At 43.9% G+C, this 19,918-nt stretch overlaps 1 protein-coding gene and 1 pseudogene across 1 annotated transcript in view, besides 3 other annotated features; one reads left to right on the forward strand and one right to left on the reverse strand.

Annotated features, from left to right (window-relative positions):
* Positions 1 to 19,345, forward strand: part of RAB7A (RAB7A, member RAS oncogene family) — an 88,616-nt gene extending 69,271 nt beyond the window's left edge. The window contains exons 3-6 of the mRNA NM_004637.6: positions 2,490 to 2,616; positions 10,919 to 11,137; positions 12,090 to 12,218; positions 17,874 to 19,345. Of these exons, the coding sequence (NP_004628.4) occupies positions 2,490 to 2,616; positions 10,919 to 11,137; positions 12,090 to 12,218; positions 17,874 to 17,969 (571 nt within the window). The 3' untranslated portion in view covers positions 17,970 to 19,345. The remainder of the gene's footprint in view (positions 1 to 2,489; positions 2,617 to 10,918; positions 11,138 to 12,089; positions 12,219 to 17,873) is intronic.
* On the reverse strand, positions 3,388 to 3,782 carry RPS15AP16 (ribosomal protein S15a pseudogene 16; annotated as a pseudogene).
* Positions 8,951 to 9,070: an enhancer, noted in NCBI's record as "active region_20496". NCBI's record gives its function as "activates an Ori minimal core promoter by ATAC-STARR-seq in GM12878 lymphoblastoid cells {active_cell/tissue: GM12878}" and the evidence as "EXISTENCE:reporter gene assay evidence [ECO:0000049][PMID:35858748]".
* Positions 11,319 to 11,368: a silencer, noted in NCBI's record as "silent region_14712". NCBI's record gives its function as "represses an Ori minimal core promoter by ATAC-STARR-seq in GM12878 lymphoblastoid cells {active_cell/tissue: GM12878}" and the evidence as "EXISTENCE:reporter gene assay evidence [ECO:0000049][PMID:35858748]".
* Positions 17,693 to 17,987: an enhancer, noted in NCBI's record as "tiled region #6458; K562 Activating non-DNase unmatched - State 17:Gen3'". NCBI's record gives its function as "activates a minimal TATA promoter and a strong SV40 promoter by Sharpr-MPRA in K562 cells {active_cell/tissue: K562}" and the evidence as "EXISTENCE:reporter gene assay evidence [ECO:0000049][PMID:27701403]".

Below are 19,918 nucleotides of genomic sequence, written 5' to 3' on the forward strand. Positions count from 1 at the left end.
GCTTAGAGCTAAGCCTCTCTGCTGTGGAGCCCACACTGTCCGTGCTGCCACTTCTTGCTTTCATAGTGAGGCTTAGGGCCTTACATGTTTCCCTCCACGGCAGAAATTTAGATGATCCCTTGTTATATAACCTTTTGTTCTCTAGTTTTTAGCATGATTTTTTATGGGGAACGGATGGCTATTTGAACTCAACTAAGGATAGGCATTTTCATGGAATCCCTTTTCTCCAAGCTGGCCAGGCTGGGGAGTCTTCCTTACGTAGATGTATTGCCATTGGCATCTGGCGTAGCAGATGTGCTTTTTTTTTTTTTTTTTGGAGACAGAGTCTCGCTCTGTCGCCCAGGCTGGAGTGCAGTGGCGCGATCTCGGCTCACTGCAAGCTCCGCCTCCCGGATTCACGCCATTCTCCTGCCTCAGCCTCCCGAGGAGCTGGGACTACAGGCGCCCGCCACCACGCCCGGCTAGTTTTTTGTATTTTTGGTAGAGATGGGGTTTCACCGTGTTAGCCAGGATGGTCTTGATCTCCTGACCTCGTGATCCGCCTGCCTCGGCCTCCCAAAGTGCTGGGATTACAGGCGTGAGCCACCGCGCCCGACCCAGATGTGCGTTCTTAGTGCACCATACAGTATCCTCCTGCTGCTGTGCCTGCTTCAGATCTATCTGCAAAAGAGCCTGGGACGGCAGAACTGGGTTCTGATTCTAGATGTGCCACTAACCATGTAGCTAACTCTAATGGCTCTTAAGATTCTGTGGTAGGTTGGGTGAGGTGGCTTATGCCCATAATCCCAGTGCTTTGGAGGCTGAGGGGAGGATTGCTTGAGCCCAGGAGTTGGAGACCTGTCTCTACAAAAAAAATTTAGCCAGGTGCCGTACCTGTAGTTCCAGCTGCTGGGGAGGCCGAGGCGAGAGGATGGCTTGAGCCCAGGAGTTTGAGGCTGTAGCAAGCTATGATCATGCCGTTGCACTGCAGCCCGAGTGACAGAGCAAGACCCCAACTCTTAAAATAAAAAGATTCTGTGGTAGGCTTTTCAGACTTGGCATCTGAAGGGACCCATGAAAGCTTTGACTCATTGGAAGCTTATGTATTTTTAAAAATAACAACAATAGCAAATGCAGGTATGCTTCTTTATTCCAAAGTCCCCTGCCCTTCCTTTGAAAAGCCAGAGGTTTTTCTGTCTTGACTGGCTTATTTGAATCACCTGCAGAACCTTTTTTTGTATGTGTGTGAGAGACAGGGTCTCGCTCTGTTGCCCAGACTAAAGTGAATGGTGCAATCACAGCTCACTGCAGCCTCAACCTCCTGGTCTTAAGCCATCCTCCCACCTCAGCCTCCAGAGTAGCTGGGACCACCAGTGTGTGCTACCACTCCTGGTTAAATTTTTGTATTTTTTATAGAGACAGGGTTCTACCATGTTGCCCAGGCTGGTCTCAAACTCCTGGGCTCAAGCAGTCCACTCGTCTCGACCTCCCAAAGTGCTGAGATTACAGGCTTGAGCCACCATGCCCAGCCTTTGAAGAACCTTTTGTTCGCTAGCATTTGCCCAGCCCCAGACCAGTGGGCTAGGGCCTAGATTTGTGCTCTCTCTCCTACCCCGCAACTCCATCCCCGTCGGGATGGAAAGATAGTGCTTTTAGGCCTGCCTTCCCCAAACTTGTGCAAAAAGTCTCACCAAGCCCTTGTTCGATTCCAGGTTTTGCCACCTCTCACCTTGTAGATTCTGGCTTAGATGGTCTGGGTTGGAAAACACTGCCTTCGGCTGTCTAGGTACCTCCAGGTTCTTTAACACAAATATGAACATGTTCCTTTGTGGCCAAGAAAGGTGATATCACTGGCTATGGGGGGGAAGGTTTTTGTATTAGCTTTAGGTTACCTTAACCTTATCACACAAAAATCACACATTGTCTCTTGCTGAGTTTTCTTACTAGAAAACATATTTGGAGGAGCATTCTTTGAGGTGGATTTGTTTTGGTGATATATTGGTGCTTTTTCTGCTTCAGATTTTAAACTTTAAAGCAGCAAATTGTCTGAGTGGTGTGTGTCTGCTGAAAGCCAAGGTCTTCCTCCTGGTGTTACTTCATCAAGCTAAATAGCAGCCACTAAATGGAGAAACATCTAAGATAGCAGGGATACTGTTGGAATAGCAGAACAGTCTTAATAGTGAAGCTTCTTTTAGAAAGCAGTATATTTGCTGGCATCCTTCTAGAATGGAAAAAATAATACTAGGCTCTACCATTTGACCTGGCTGTGCCAAAACATGTAAGCAGCTTTTCCACATCTGCCCCACATCTGTACCCTATATTTTTACCCAGAGAGAAAACACAAAACTTCAAAAGTGTAATGCTCGGAAGGCTACTGGCATTGCCCTTTGCTGTGAGGGCAGTTTCTTGTCCTTCAGGTCAGGCAGATTCTTTTAAATGCTTCAAGTAATTCGTGTCAGTTTCAGGACCCTCCTATTTGACTTATACTTATGGTTTTTCTCCAATTTCAGAGTCGGGAAGACATCACTCATGAACCAGTATGTGAATAAGAAATTCAGCAATCAGTACAAAGCCACAATAGGAGCTGACTTTCTGACCAAGGAGGTGATGGTGGATGACAGGCTAGTCACAATGCAGGTAAGCACATGTCTTGGCTGTGCTGACCAGGCCTTGATAGTTCATTTAGTCTTAATCTTTCCTCATGCATAGACATTTTCCTTCCCTGTTCTTCAAATCTTATTATCTTATTTGTAGATAATTGGCTGATACTCAGTTAAATTTGAATTTCAGATCAATAGTGAATACTTTTTTAGTATACTTCTAGTGTATCTCAGATACGACTTGCTAAGACACACTAAAAAATTCTTCTTAAAAAAAAACTCAGATTTATCCTTTCTTGTTTTTTGTTGTTTTTGGTTTTGTTGTTTGCTAAATTTGGCAACCTGCAGGTCTCTGTCTTGTGCCTCTCTTGACATCCTTGCCCAGTGCTTTAGGTAAACATCTTTGTCTCACCTCAGTAGTGAGACATAAACTTTATTTTTCTGACTTCCTATTTCATACGTAACTTCAAGAGTTGTGTGTCTATTGAGCCAATCTTTTTTTTATGTATCAGCTTATTAATCTTTCAAGGGTTCCCTTTCAACAGTTAGGATAAGATACAGATTCTTTCATATGACTTGTTGAAAAGCCTTCACATTCTGGCTATAAACTATTATTCCCTTTTTTTCCCCCATTGAGTCATTTTGTTTGTATACATGTATTAACATCCCTAGAAAAGAAACCCCTGAAGGATGGATACCTTGAGCCCAGGAGTTTGAGCCTGCAGTGAGCTGTGACTGCTCCATTATACTCCAGCCTGGGTGATGGAGTGAGACCCTGTCTCTAAATTTAAAAAAAAAAAAAAAAAAAAAAAAGAATCCCAGGATTTTCCCTCCTGTATTTTCATCTCTTTCTTCATGGTCCATGATGCCAGCTGAGGTTGTCAGTACAACCTCACTTTGAAACCAAACTATTGGGATAGGAGTAGATTATCCTGTCATTTTTCTAGATCTTTGAGTTGCACATCACATCTGGGGCCAATCATTCCAGGGGCAGTTTTAACCTGCCTGTGAGGTTTACAGTAATTTTCCCAGCTCTGTGATGACCAGTGATTTCAAATTTTCAATGTGATCATGTTTCATCTTCACACTTAGAACCAGACCATGACTTGGGAGCACAGCCTAATAAGAACCTGGTGTTTGCCCTTGAGAGCATCAGCCAAGACGTTCATGCATTACGGAGGCAAGAAAAGATGGTGGAAATAGCTGTTACTCACTTTTTTTTTTTTTGTCTCGTTCCAGTCATTCCGAATCATGTGCTGCTCTTACAGACTTGTGTTGGTGGATATGTCTCTGCTTCCAGCAGGGCCTGTATACCCACCTGAAGTCTCCAACTTTTAGCTCAGATCTTTGGAAACTTCTATCTCCATGGCAGTTGTTCTTTCCTATGTGCTTCTAGAGGCAAATACAATTCTAATCCCATTATAGTCCTAGAAAGTACCTGGCAAATAGTGGGGGCTTGCTGAAATGTGTGAATGATGTAGGTTAAAGGTAGAAATTTGTGCACGTGTTGACCTCGAGCCATGGCATGCTCCTAGAGGATCAGGACTCTTAATTGACTCACACTTCTAGGACAGAGCTGGTATGAATCTCTCATCCTCACCTCACCTACACACATACACCTAGAGATCTTCAAAATGTAACTACAGTTTAAGCAAGTCAAGCTTGAGAGTAGAACTGGAAAACCTTGGCCCAAGAAATTGGCAAAGCTTGTGTCTGCAGTTGTTGGAGATTCTCAGTCCCACTCTCCACATGTACAGAAATCTTTGTCTCAAAGGATTTAACATAAATCCCTGTCATTCCTGGCAAAAACAAGGGTAAGACCACTCTGTAGGGACATTTAGTACCGCAGGAGAGAAGATGAGTTCATAACCACATGAGGAAATAATGTACCACAAGAGATGTTCACAATGACTAGAGATGTTCTAAAAAGAAATAGAAACCATAATGGAAAGGGATACTATAAAAAAATGAGGATATGGAAAACTTAGAACTTCAAGAAGTGAAAACATAGTATTGAAATAAGCTAAAGGAACAGTTAAACTGTAGATTAAATGGAGCTGAAAAAAGCAGTAAGCCGTAAGAGCTGAGCAAATTTTCTAAAAGAAGACTTAAAATTGTAGAAGACCGAAAAGCAAAATCTTAAGAGCAACTATAGAAAAAAAAGACATGACTTATAAAGGAACAACAGACTGACAAATTCTCAACAGAAGGCAGAAGGGAGTAGAATTACTTCAGGGAGCTGGGGTAAAGGCCCATCTGAAGATTCTCCATGTGTCACAGCAAGACTCAGACTGCCTTTTGCTGAGGGAAAATAGAACTTCTCCAGCTGAGCTGTGGTTTTGGTAGCCATGTGGGCCAGCGAATTCAGAAATCAGAGTTCGGCCCCTGCTGGGTCGGGGGTTGTCATAACAGTCCCGTCTGTACTACTAAGCTGGGACCTTGGGGCGCTGCACTCTTGAAGTAAACCCCATCAGGAGATCCACAGCGCACTGTGGGCTTCTCAAGAAGCCCAAATTCCAGGAAGGATAAATAAAAAGAATTCTGTGTAAGTCATAATGAAACTAAAAAAGAAAAAGGCTTAAAAATAGACTGAGGAAAACCTGACAAGCACAGCACTGAGGCTGTCAGGTGACTCTTGGCAGTAGCAGCAGAGCCCAGCAGGCAGTGGGGTATGTTGGGAAAGAGACGGGCAGCACAGTGTTCTGTCTCTGCTGAAATAACCCTCCTGAATGAAAGAGTACATCTTTAAGGGCTAGTGGCAGAAGTTCTAAAGGATAACTCCAGGCAGAAAGTGATTTCATGTAGATGAGGAAAGAGTGGAAAAAGATAACAAGTTCCCAAGAGATTGAAGCAAAAGGATGACCCTTGTGCTCTTGCAGCCAGCTTCAGATACTAGAAGTAAATGAAAATCATTGTCTCTGCACAAAGGCGTCATTATCCTGATCTTGAGGAATCCTCATGTGTTTTTCGAGGGCTTTTAGCAGCTTGCAGTAAAACATAATCAAAATAAAACAAGGCACCACAAGAAAGAACCAGTGGAAACTTCCCTGGTAATTCCAGAGTGTTTTTTGTATTTAAAGAAATAAGGAGGATACAGAGTTTCAGTTATATGAGATGAATAAATCCTAGAGATGTGTACAGCATAGTGCCTGTAGTTAACAATACTGTATTGTACACTTAAAAATTTGCATGCTGGATGCGGTGGCTCATGCCTGTAATCCTAGTGCTTTGGGAGGCCAAGAGAGGAGTTTGAGACTAGCCTGGGCAAAATAGCACATTTCATCTCTACAAAAAAATTTTTTGAAAGAATTTACTAAGAGGATCTTATTTTAAGTGTTCTTATCACAAAAAGTAATAATAAGAGGATGGGGGGAACCTTTTGATGAGTAGGTTTGTGGCCTACATTGTAGTGATGGTTTGTGTGCAGCCTTTGTATGTCAGCCATACCTCACTAAAGGGGCTTTGGTTAAAGATAAGATAATCGTTTATCTGCAGGGAAGAAACGAAACAGTTAACATTGATAGGGGGAGAAAATGAAGCACAATCAATGAAATTTGGAAATTCAGAGAATGCTGCTAAATCATAGCAGATTGGCCACACCAGAAAAGGGCTGGAAGAATGAAAGAAAAATGGCAGGAAATATGAAAGAAATAAGTGAAAGTGAGAAGGTTGGACCTACTTTTAATCAGTCTCAGAAGGTGTAAAGAGAGAATAATAGATCAAAGATGATATTTGCTGAGAATTTTCGAGAATTGGTGTGGCACCAATCCACTGACTCAAGAAGCCCAAATTCCAGGAAGGATAAATAAAAAGAATTCTGTGTAAGTCATAATGAAATTAAAAAAAAAAGACTTAAAAATAGACTGAGGAAAACCTGACAAGCACAGCACTGAGGCTGCCAGGTGACTCTTGGCAGTAGCAGCAGAGCCCAGCAGGCAGTGGGGTATGTTGAGAAAGAGATGGGCAGCACAGTGTTCTGTCTCTGCTGAAATAACCCTCCTGAATGAAAGAGTACATCTTTAAGGGCTAGTGGCAGAAGTTCTAAAGGATAACTCCAGGCAGAAAGTGATTTCATGAAGATAGGTCTGAAGGAAGAACACTTCAATAGTATACTTGTATCTATTTTTGGAATCGTGAGTATGTAACTTCCAAAGTAATATGAGGAAACAAAGATCAGAACTGTGTAATCTAATGTGTAGGGAAAGATTAGTGACTGCTGTGTTTCTTGTTTTTTAAAGTTCTCTATACTGTTCAGAAAGAATCTGAAATTGATTAGTATCTTAGATGGAATCAAATAGGCATGACAAATTTCCAGGGAACAGTTTATTGTGAGTTTGTGGTAGTTTAAACAGTGATATTAGTATAGTAATACACAGAGCACAGGAACAGAGGGCACAGGGTGCACCTCTCTGGTAATACATGGAGAGAAGGGTGTTGTAGGGTACATATTTTATTTTATTTTATTTATGTATGTATGTATTTATTTATTTATTTTTGAGATGGAGTCTCACTCTGTCGCCCAGGCTGGAGTGCAGTGGCGTGATCTTGGCTCACTGCAACCTCCGCCTCCTGGGTTCAAGCAATTCTGCCTCAGCCTCCCGAGTAGCTGGGACTACAGGTGTGTGCCACCACGCCCAGCTAATTTTTTGTATTCTTAGTAGAGATGGGGTTTCACCATGTTAGCCAGGATGGTCTTGATCTCTTGACCTCATGATCTGGCCGCCTCAGCCTCCCACGGCGCTGGGATTACAGGCGTGAGCTACCACACCCAGCCTATTTTTTATTTTTTTTGAGACAGGAGTCTCACTGTCGCCCAGGCTGGAGTGCAGTGGCCTGATCTCAGCTCACTGCAACCTCTGCCTCCCCGATTCAGGCAATTCTCCTGCCTCGGCCTCCCAAGTAGCTGGGATTACAGGCGCCTGCCACCACGCTTGGCTAATTTTTTGTATTTATTTTTAGTAGAAACGGGGTTTCACCATGTTGGCCAGGCTGGTCTCGAACTGCCGACCTCAGGTGATCCACCTACCTTGGCCTCCCAAAGTCCTGGGATTACAGGCATGAGCCACTGCGCTCAGCCAGTAGGGTAAATAAGTGGGACCAGGACAGGGCTTTACATTCTAGCTTGGGGGAACCAGAGGATTCAAGACCTGAAGGTGGAAAAAATACAAAGTGAAAACTTAAAAAATGAAAATAGTGAATACTTTTCACCTTTGGCATTTGAAAATACAGAAAGTACAAATCATAAAATGTTGAAGATTGATTAATAGATTACATTAAACATGTAAATAACAAGATTCCCAGACTAACAAGAACAAACCACACAAGCAGGTGACAAAGATGATAATGCCTAATAGTATCCAAGCAGTAGGTAACCTGGTGGATGCTAGAATATAGGGAGTGGAACAGCCTCTGGTTGATGGTAGGAGTGTAGTAATGAGTACAACCTTTTCAGTAGAAACTGCCACTCTGCTCCCCAGTGTTGAACATAGACATATGCAGCAATCCAGAGTTCTGAGTCTGAGTGTATGGCCTAGAGAAACTTATCTCTGGACATTATGAGAGAGTTGTAATGAGAGTTATCATTGCAGCCTTGCATGGGGAGTGAAAAACTGCAAATAACTCAAATGATCTGGGGAACTAAGTGAGTCTATTAAAGCAGTGGAATATTATATAACTGTTAACTTTTGGGAATGAAAAAAGACAAGTTGCAAAAAGCTGTACAGGATGATAATGTTTATGTAAGGCATCTCTTCAGGAGCATTTACTTGTGGTGAAGAAGGAAGAAAATGCAATGAGGGAAGGGTTAACTCTTGGAAAAAACGGATAAAAATAACAGTGTTAATTTTTGTCACATCAGAATATTGGGTAGACAGTTATAAGGGTATAATTTTAAATGGAGAAAACAAAACATTTTGAAACAAGCAGGCTGGCTGGTTTCCTGTTTTGATGTGGTCTAGAGAAAAAGAATAAAAGCCCCTTACTCAAGCTGTAGCTTACCTAACTTCCAAACAATCAGCAACAAAAAACCCCGAGAAACTGTTATCACAAGTTCCTGCTTCATGGGGCTAGGGACCTCCCTGGGCCCCCCCCCGCCCCCAGCATGTGCAGTTAGACTTCAACTTCAACTTATAGTTACCTTTTCCTCATTTTAATGCCAAAAGTCACACCCAGGATGGAGATTTAACCTGCTAGTGCTACACGCAATTTCTGAAGAAGCATGTTTAGCCACTGTGCATGCACTAGAAAAACCCCTCCTATATACATATCCTGACATCACCCCTCCCCACAGGAAAGCCCTTTAAAGTTAACTCCCACACTGCTTTCAGAGAACAGCTGCCCCTTTCCTTTTGCAGTGCTAGCTCACTATGCATAAGCTAATACACTTTCACTTTCTCTTTGCTATTGTGTCTGGTGATCTCTCTTGATTTCTATCATGGAAGATTCCAAGAACCCAGGTCGCTGTTAACAATTTCAATTAAAATATTAAAAAATTTAAAAATCACAGTCAGCCATAGGACTGTACTTGTTGATGTTTTGATAAATATGGCCTTTACTTTTGTAAATTCAAAGTTAAATTAATTTTGGTAACTTTCTAGGAACCCGTCAACTTGTTGACTTCTTTTTGATGTATTACTTTGCCTTCTCTGTGTATCTGAGTTCCAGATGATGAATTGGTTCCACCTAACAGTAACAGAGTTCTTATGTAATTTTGCTTGTAGGAGTCTATCTGAAAAAAGCCATTTGACATACAGAGAAAGCTCTCTATGCTAATGTTCATTGCTGAGTTGTTTATAATGATAGGAAATTGTCAGCAATATTTTCTTAAAAATAGGAATCGATGGTTCACTAAATCTGTTGGGCAGCAGTAAAGTCCAGTGAACCTGCTCTCCCATGTCACCCCATCTGCTGTTGCCAGAGTGCCCTAGTGCGTGACGGGGTAGAGGGGAGGAACTTGGGAGAATGTGGAGAGTATCACATGTGCAGTCTAGGAGTGCAGTCTAGGATTTCAGCTACAGAAAACCTCCGCGCATATGACTAGAACAAGACATGAACTCCTTCCTGTGTGGGAGGATGCCAAGTGTTCTTTTGTTTGTTTGTTTGTTTGTTTGTTTGAGAATGGGGTCACTTCTCCACTGACAGAGATGCATACATATTCCATGTAGAACATTGGAGAACCAGGAGAGCACAGGGATGAGTACCACCAGCAGTCCCGATCCTGTTTAGTCTACATGTGTGGACTTTGTTTATTGTATCTGGGCAAGGGAGCATTTAGTGCCCTAGCCTGCCGAGAGGCAGTGGAGTCATTAGAAATAAATTTGTCTTTTTTGCCCTTCATCCTTATATCTGAGTTGTTATCATGTTCGTCCGGCTCTGTTTGAGTGCCTGTTACGGATCTAGGGCAGTAAGTATACCCAGCCTTGCTCTTAAATCTAGCATGGCAGTGAATGAGGTGACCAGCTTAGAGCTGGGCGGTAGTACCTGGTTTAATCTTTACTCTGGTGTGTGTTCTCATTGTCTTTCTCTTGATCTCTTTTTGTCAAGAGTTTTTCATTTGTTTTGTTTTTTGAGGTATAATACAAATGAAATATAACATGCTAATCTTTTTTGTTGTTTAGGCAAACTTTTCTCTTTTTTTTGAGACAGAGTTTCGCTCTTATCACCCAGGCTGGAGGGCAATGGCACGATCTTGGCTCACCGCAACCTGCGCCTCCCAGGTTCAAGCAATTCTCCTGCCTCAGCCTCCCAAGTAGCTAGGATTACAGGCATGCACCACCATGCCTGGCTAATTTTGTATTTATAGTAGAGACAGGGTTTCTCCATGTTGGTCAGGCTGGTCTCAAACTCCTGACCTCCGGTGATCCACTGTGCCTGGCTAGGCAAACTTTTCATACAGTAAAATGCATAGATTGAACTATATCACTCGTGAGTCATCACCTCACTTCCCTATTGAACTGTATCATTCGTGAGTCATCACCTCACTTCCCTATATTTCCATTGCTCTCAGAAAGTTCCCAGAGTACCTAAGTTTTATTTATAGTTCAAATTTTACACACTTACCTACATGTGACCACTACTTGGATCAAGATATAAGAAATTTCTAGCACCCTGGAGATTGGACTCAATGTCACTCGCTTATAGACAGACACATACTTAATCACAATATTTGTGAGGATTGTTTCAGATACTCTGGTGCTGAAATTTGCTTCCTGAAGTCTGGTGTCATTTGTCTTTGTGGGTGGCCCCACAATCTAGCCTATTTCTTCTGGCACCCCTTGCATACATGCTCCTGGTGCTCTGCCTAGCATTCTCCCAAGGAATGAATGTTTTGTCTCTCACAGATATGGGACACAGCAGGACAGGAACGGTTCCAGTCTCTCGGTGTGGCCTTCTACAGAGGTGCAGACTGCTGCGTTCTGGTATTTGATGTGACTGCCCCCAACACATTCAAAACCCTAGATAGCTGGAGAGATGAGTTTCTCATCCAGGCCAGTCCCCGAGATCCTGAAAACTTCCCATTTGTTGTGTTGGGAAACAAGATTGACCTCGAAAACAGACAAGTAAGTACCAACGATGATAGATATTGTCACAGACACCTGCTCCCCAGGGGCCTTGTGAATTTGGAGGGTTCTCTGCTAAGCTCACATGGCTCTAGGAGGTGCTGGTGGGAGTCTTCATTACCATATGCCAGCCCTTCAGGCCAACTGCCTTTAAGGACCGGGACCCAGGTGACCTGGGTTAAGTCCCCATCCTGCCCCCAGCTGGCTGTGACTTTGGGCCATTGTCTTGGCTGTCTCAGCTTCACTTCCCTTTCTGCACTTTGAAGGAGGGAATTCGGTTTTGTCATTCTCAGTAGTGCCCTCCCAGTACCTCCAGGCCATGCCTGGATCTCCATGTGTGCAGAATATTGCTTTGGGCTTTGAGTAAAATTGCTGTACTGTAGTTTCAAATACCATTTCTGTTGGAAACATAGACTCTTTGATTAATTACAACTAGGTTTATTTCTGACCACAGATCTTTTCTTAAGTGACTTAGTCCTTATCTCTTGGCTGAAAATGGGCTAGGGGTTGGGGAAGGAATGAGAATGTGTGAGTGGCATAGGTGACATCACACTAGCAGTAATGGTGAAGGGACTATAAACCTTAAGACCAAGCTGCTGGGCATTTCCTGTCCTGGGATCTCTGAGGTCCCAGTAAACACTCTTCATTTCTTCCCGGACTGGCTTCTTACTCCATTCACAAATGGCTTTTAAGTATAACTGAGGGTCAGAAGGTATGAGCTGTAGACCGAGACAGGCTTTGAGCTCTCTAGCTGAATCCTAGCTATCCTGAGCATAGCTAGCAGGACAAGTTTGGACGGGTCTGCAGGTCTCCTCCAACACCCTCTTTCCCCATGTCTGTGTCCTCACCTGTACTACCTGTAGACGAGGGGCCATGACACTTCCTGGGGAGGATGGAGTCAGTGCTGGCTGCTTCTGTCATGAGCCTATGTGCACCCTGCTTCTTCTTTCAGGTGGCCACAAAGCGGGCACAGGCCTGGTGCTACAGCAAAAACAACATTCCCTACTTTGAGACCAGTGCCAAGGAGGCCATCAACGTGGAGCAGGCGTTCCAGACGATTGCACGGAATGCACTTAAGCAGGTGGGTCTCCCACAGCTGACCAGCCCACTCTGGTGATGCCTGACCACTGACCCAGTCCCTGCCTGGCCTCCTGCCCTTAATCTTCTTCCCTAACCCACTCTTTTCTGTATAGCCAGAATACCCTATGTGTTCATCTGGGAAGGTTATGACATGTTCTGCTTAAGCTTCCAGAAATCCCACTTTGGGGGGAATAATATAAAAGATGCAGAGGCTGTGAAGTCTGAGGCTGCCCTTCTTTTACTAGGCTTGTTCTTATTTTCTTTGCTGTGATTAGGAGATCAGGTCACTGGGAGACCCCGAACAGATTGCTGCTTCTATTTAAGGAGGAAATAAACTTGAATATGAATCCCAGCTCTGCTGCGTACCAATCGTTATATCTAGTTTGGGCTTAAAAAAAAATTATGGCCGGGCACTGTGGCTCATGCCTGTAATCCTAGCACTTTGGGAGGCCAAGGCGGGCTGATCACTTGAGGTCAGGAGTTCGAGACCAGCCTGGCCAACATGGTGAAACCCCCTCTCCACTAAAAAATACAAAAAAATTAGCCAGACCTGGTGGTGGTCGCCAGTAATCCCAGCTACTCGGGAGGCTGAGGCAGGAGAATTGCTTGAACCCAGGCGGCAGAGGTTGCAGTGAGCCAAGATCGTGCCACTGTACTCCATCCTGGGTGACAGAGTGGGACTCTGTCTAAAAAAAATTAAAAATTAAAATAAAAAAAATTATATCTGAACTTCTACCCCCTCACCTGAAAAATGGGAATACCTGCTTTTGCAGGGTGATTATGAAGATTAAATGAGACAGACTCTTCCAGCTCTCACATACTGACTGGTAACTTTTTTCCTTAGGAACAGTTAAGTAAACAACACAAAGAAGGAAGAAGATGTAGGAAAACTATTCAAGGAATATAATACCTAGAATTTCTTATTTACTGTTTCTGTGATTAGATACAACCACTCATGCGAGTTGAAAGTCTGTTTTGATGTACAGCTCTGTTAGGGGCAGTGGTGATTAAGGCAGGTCACGAGGCCTCATCAGACAGTGTCTGGGGGTGGTCAGAGGTGTGGCAGGTTTGGGAGGATGCATAGAACACTTGAAGCACATGGTGGCTGTGAAGGGCAAGGCAGATTCTGCTGACTCCAGGAAGCCGGCTGAATGAAGGTAATGGCTTTCAGCAGGACAAAGAGTTGTTTGTAATGGTTGCTCCAAGGACCAGGGAAATTCTGGCATGGGTGGGGTCTGCACTAAGTGTTCCAGAATGAAAGGGACAGATCTACTCAATGAGGAAATTGTTCCACCCAGAATGCCAGGAGAGCCCTCAAGTGGTAAGGAGCAGACCAAGATGCAGACTTGGCCACGCTTACCCCCAAATAATAATGTTTGTGTTTTTCTTAATGTTCATATAAGGGAATGGAAATCCAAATATGTGTAGGAAAGTGTTTCCCACCTGTTCCCTGTTGCCTGGCATCACTGTCTGAGTTTTTCTCTTCCATCACTACTGTCCCTGTTGTCTTTATGCTTTTATTTTTAGAGCTAGCCCTTAAGAAGTTAGATTGTTAAATCGGAGGGTGTATCTTATTGTAAGTCAGGGTGCCAGGTTGCTTTCCCCAAGGGGAATAACATTTCAGCAATGTGGGCTTGCTTTCTTCTACCTCCTTGCCAGCAAGCAATAGGTGTCACCTGTCACTGCTGACATTGCCGATCTTTGGGTGTGTAAATTGCCACCATCGTGACTACTGGTCCCTCTGAGTTCCCCTCCCTGGGGCTTAGCCATTTGGATTTTCTCTGCTGCACACAGCCGGCACACAGCACATGGTTGGGCCTCTCTCAGTTCTCATGAGCTGTTGGTGAATTGAAGTTAACTCTACTTGCATCTTAAGTGACTTTTCCAACTCTGTGGTCTTTTTAAGTCCTTTGAACATAGGGAAAAAGTAATTTTTTATTTGGTTATGTCATTTTAAGTTTCTATGTTTCCTGTGTCTACCTCAGATTTTTCTGTAATTCAGCTGGAATTTGTTTTGGCTTATGGCAGAAAAGAGAGACTTGCCTTTCCTCTCAAGAGAGCTCAGCCAGTTGTTTGAAATCATTCAGCTATGTTACACAAGCCGTTTCCCTCCCTGAATAGACCGTGGCCTGTGCTAAATGCTCGTATGTGCTGGGATCTGTTTCTGGTCTCTCCAGTCTGTTCTGGTGATGTCCATGCCATGTTCCCTTATCTGGACTGTGTTGATTTGACTGCCTGATGAGGCAAGTTTCCTCTTGCCACAGTCTTTTTTTTTTTTTTTTTTTTTTTTTTTTTTGAGACGGAGTCTTGCTCTGTTCCCCAGGCTGGAATGCAATGGCGTGATCTCGGCTCACTGCAACCTCCGCCTCCCAGGTTCAAGCGGTTCTCCTGCCTCAGCCTCCTGAGTAGCTGGGATTACAGGCATCCGCCACCATGCCCAGCTAATTTTGGTAATTTTTTAGTAAAGATAGGGTTTCACCATGTTGGCCAGGCTGGTCTGGAACTCACATTGTGAACCGCCCGCCTCAGCCTCCCAAAGTGCTGGGGTTACAGGCATGAGCCACCGCACCCGGCCTGCCACATTTCTTTTTTAATAATTTTGTTTCCACCATTTTCCTCTCTTACCTTCCACACCCCAAATAAAACTCTGTTGAGATTTTGATTGGAATTTTTTTCTTCAAGCCCACTGTTTTTTCCTCATTGATTGCAGTTTTGTTGTGGCTGTTGCATTAGTCTGCTCAGGCTGCGTTAACAAAACCCCACAGCCTGGGAGGGTCCAACAACAGACATTTTGTTTTCTCACAGTTCTGGAGGCTGGAAGTCCATGAGCAAGGTGCTGGCACATGTTTCTGGTGAGGGTGCTTTTCTGGGCTATCTTCTCACTGTGTCCCTCCCATGCCCTTTCTGCTGTGTGCACAGAGAGAGGACACATGAGCAAGGTGTCTCTGGTGTCACCTCTTCTTATAAGGACACGAATTCTCAGATCAGGTCCCCATCCTGCAACCTCATTTAACCTTCATTCCTTCCTTACTCCAAATACAGCCACCTGAAGGGTTAGTGCTTCAACACAGGAATTTTGGAGGAACACAAACATTCTGCCCAGCCGAGTGCGGTGGCTCATGCCTGTAATCCCAGCACTTCGGGAGGCTGAGGCGGGTGGATCACCTTAGGTCAGGAGTTCAAGACCAGCCTGGCCAACATTGTGAAACCCCATCTCTACTAAAAATACAAAAAATTAGCTGGCGTGGTGGTGGGCACCTGTAATCCCAGCTACTTAGGATGCTGAGGCAGGAGAATTGCTTGAACCTGGGAGGTGGAGGTTGCAGTGAGCCGAGATTGCACCATTGCACTCCAGCCTGGGCAACAAGAGCGAAACTCCATCTCAAAAAAAAAAACAAAACATTCCACCCATGATACTATTTTAGGTCTTGTTTCTGTTCCTTCAGTAAGATTGATTGATTCTTTTTTTTTTTAGAGACAGGGTCTTGCTCTGTCAGTCAGGCTGATACGCAGTGGTGCAATCATCACTCGCTATAACCTCCAACTTCTGGGCTCCAGCAGTCTTCCCACCATAGCCTCCTAAGTAGGTAGGACTACAGGCACACCCATGCTATAATTGATTTATAATATGATCCTTTGCCTTTCACAGTAAACATATTCCTAGGTACTGGTGGGAATATAAAATGTCACTATTTGTAATAGCCAAAAAGTAAGAACAACTCAAATGTCCATCAACTGGTAAGTGAATAAACAGGGCAGCTTATCCATGCATTCTAATATTATTCAGCTATAAGAAGGAATGAAGTAGTGACACATGCTGCCACATGGGTGCTAAGTGAAGGAAGCCAGTTGCAAAAAGACCATATGTTGTACGATTCCATTTCAGTGAAATGTCCAGCCCGGATGCAGTGGCTCATGCCTAAAATCACAGCACTTTGGGAGGCTGAGGCCGGAGGATCACTTGAAACCAGGAGTTTGAGACCATCTTGGGCAACATAGCAAGGCCTCATCTCTACTAAAAATTAAAAATTAGCTAGGTGTGGTGGCATGAGCTTATAGTTCCAGCTACTTGGGAGGCTGAGACTGGAGGATTGTGTGAGCCCAGGAGTTAGAGGCTGCAGTGAGCTGTGATCATGCCATTGCACTCCAGCCTGGGCGACAGAGCAAGACTCTGCCTCAAAAAAAAAAAAAGAAAGAAATCACAGTCCACTAGAAGAAATGGGGAAAATTAAAATAAATAAATAATGTTTAAAAATTAAGTGTCCAGAATAATAGGCAACTCTATTGAGACAGAAAGTAGATGAGTGGTTGCTGGGTCCAGGATGGTATAGAATGGGGGTGGGAAGGAACTACTAATGGGCATAGGGTTTTTTGGGGGGTGATGAGAGTATTTTAAACTTAATGTTGATGGCTGCCCAACTTTCTGAATATACTAAAAACCATTGAATTGTACACTTCATGGCATGTGAGTTAAAACCCAGCAAAGCTATTAGGAGTGCAATGGCACCATCTTGGCTCACTGCAACCTTGACCTCCCGGGTTCAAGCAATTCTCCTGCCTCAGCCTCCTGAGTAGCTGGGATTATAGGTGCTTGTCACCATGCCTGGCTAATTTCTGTATTTTTAGTAGAGACGGGGTTTCACCATGTTCGCCAGGCTGGTCTTGAACTCCTGACTTCAGGTGGTCGACCTGCTTCAGCCTCCCAAAGTGCTGGGATTACAGGCGTGAGCCACCATGCTCAGCCAAAGCTGTTATTTTTTTAAGTATGTATTCCTAGATGTTTTATACTTTTATAGTTATTGTGAATGGAATGATTTTTTTCCTAGATAACTTTTAATGAATAGAAACAGTTCCTGCTTTATCTCCAAATTCTAGAACAGTCACTGGCACACAAGTGCTCAGTGTTTAAGTGACATTGTTTTCCTGCACCCAAAAGTAGAATGCTGCTCCTCATTGGAAGCATGTTACTTTAGCAAAGTGCCACTAAAATGACCATAGTCCATGTGCTCTGATCACTTGTCACAGATGGTGATAAAATTCATTCACAGCTTCCTTTCTAGGCCTGCAGCATTTGGGAGACAAAACTCTGCTAAACCTTTGGAAGAAAAAAGAGACCAGAGGCCATTGGTCCCGAAAAGTGGATGGAAGATAGGGAGGTAGAAGGAATGTTACAGGCTGAGAGGGCAGCTCACACTCAGCTCCAGCCACTTCACCTCGTGCACACACTGGCTGAGGGTTGCCAGATGTTTGAGAAAAGCTAGAAATCCAGACCATTGTTAACCATTGGCAACTATAGGGAACATACAGAAAGCATCTGAACTGGATGTGGTAGAGCTCCCAGATCATGATCTGATTGAGAATGTCCATGAACTTCTGTCCTGATTGCTCAGTGCAGACTGCTGCTTCTTCTGGCAAGACTCCTCTCTTCACATTGACCTGGAGTTGTCACAAAATCTGTTTTTCTCTTGCTACTCCCCTGAGCATGGCACCTTCTGCCAGAGCGCTCCCTTAACTGTGTGGGCAGGCTCTGCTTCACAGCTCCCCGCCCACTCTGCCCAAGCAGAAGTGAGCCCCTCCTGGGCAGAAAGTGCCCGCAATGAGGGCTGAAATGTTTCTATTCCCTGAGTAACCAACCTTTCTCTGTTTCCTTGTCCAGGAAACGGAGGTGGAGCTGTACAACGAATTTCCTGAACCTATCAAACTGGACAAGAATGACCGGGCCAAGGCCTCGGCAGAAAGCTGCAGTTGCTGAGGGGGCAGTGAGAGTTGAGCACAGAGTCCTTCACAAACCAAGAACACACGTAGGCCTTCAACACAATTCCCCTCTCCTCTTCCAAACAAAACATACATTGATCTCTCACATCCAGCTGCCAAAAGAAAACCCCATCAAACACAGTTACACCCCACATATCTCTCACACACACACACACACGCACACACACACACACAGATCTGACGTAATCAAACTCCAGCCCTTGCCCGTGATGGCTCCTTGGGGTCTGCCTGCCCACCCACATGAGCCCGCGAGTATGGCAGCAGGACAAGCCAGCGGTGGAAGTCATTCTGATATGGAGTTGGCATTGGAAGCTTATTCTTTTTGTTCACTGGAGAGAGAGAGAACTGTTTACAGTTAATCTGTGTCTAATTATCTGATTTTTTTTATTGGTCTTGTGGTCTTTTTACCCCCCCTTTCCCCTCCCTCCTTGAAGGCTACCCCTTGGGAAGGCTGGTGCCCCATGCCCCATTACAGGCTCACACCCAGTCTGATCAGGCTGAGTTTTGTATGTATCTATCTGTTAATGCTTGTTACTTTTAACTAATCAGATCTTTTTACAGTATCCATTTATTATGTAATGCTTCTTAGAAAAGAATCTTATAGTACATGTTAATATATGCAACCAATTAAAATGTATAAATTAGTGTAAGAAATTCTTGGATTATGTGTTTAAGTCCTGTAATGCAGGCCTGTAAGGTGGAGGGTTGAACCCTGTTTGGATTGCAGAGTGTTACTCAGAATTGGGAAATCCAGCTAGCGGCAGTATTCTGTACAGTAGACACAAGAATTATGTACGCCTTTTATCAAAGACTTAAGAGCCAAAAAGCTTTTCATCTCTCCAGGGGGAAAACTGTCTAGTTCCCTTCTGTGTCTAAATTTTCCAAAACGTTGATTTGCATAATACAGTGGTATGTGCAATGGATAAATTGCCGTTATTTCAAAAATTAAAATTCTCATTTTCTTTCTTTTTTTTCCCCCCTGCTCCACACTTCAAAACTCCCGTTAGATCAGCATTCTACTACAAGAGTGAAAGGAAAACCCTAACAGATCTGTCCTAGTGATTTTACCTTTGTTCTAGAAGGCGCTCCTTTCAGGGTTGTGGTATTCTTAGGTTAGCGGAGCTTTTTCCTCTTTTCCCCACCCATCTCCCCAATATTGCCCATTATTAATTAACCTCTTTCTTTGGTTGGAACCCTGGCAGTTCTGCTCCCTTCCTAGGATCTGCCCCTGCATTGTAGCTTGCTTAACGGAGCACTTCTCCTTTTTCCAAAGGTCTACATTCTAGGGTGTGGGCTGAGTTCTTCTGTAAAGAGATGAACGCAATGCCAATAAAATTGAACAAGAACAATGATCATCTGCCTTTGCCAGAGTCTTTTTTTCCTTCTTCAAGAGCCTTGGCTCAGTAGAGACCACATGAGCTAATCATAGTCAATGCCTTATCAAGCAAGAGAGCCCTCCATAAATGGGCACGTGTGGTGCTTCAAGGCAGAAAGGCCCTCTCATATCTGGTCCTGTAGTGCCTGTCCCTAGTTTTTTTTTGTTTGTTTTTTTTTCCGGGGGCGGGGGTGGGTGTATTTTAATCACATTGTTGGAGGTTGAGGACCATGGATGGAGAACGCATTGTCCCTTTAGGAGAGCAGCCAGAAACTGCTGGGGACTCTGAGCCATGCATATCCTGTAGGTGTAACTGTAACCTAGTCATGTGTTATGTGTTTTATTTTTAGTTGACCTAGTTGCTAACACTTAGATGTGTAATTCTGCATTTGTCACAGGAGAGGAAGATTTGGCAGCAGAGGCCCTGTATTCCAACATATGTAAGCCCCCACCTGGAATGGAATAGTTGCCACTTAGAAGCAATTTTATTAAAATAGTAGTAGTTCAGGTCGTGAGTCACTTTAGGTTTTGCAGAAGTGCCTCATTGAGTT

Source organism: Homo sapiens, chromosome 3 (assembly GCF_000001405.40).
Source record: "Homo sapiens chromosome 3, GRCh38.p14 Primary Assembly".
Classification (NCBI taxonomy): domain Eukaryota; kingdom Metazoa; phylum Chordata; class Mammalia; order Primates; family Hominidae; genus Homo; species Homo sapiens.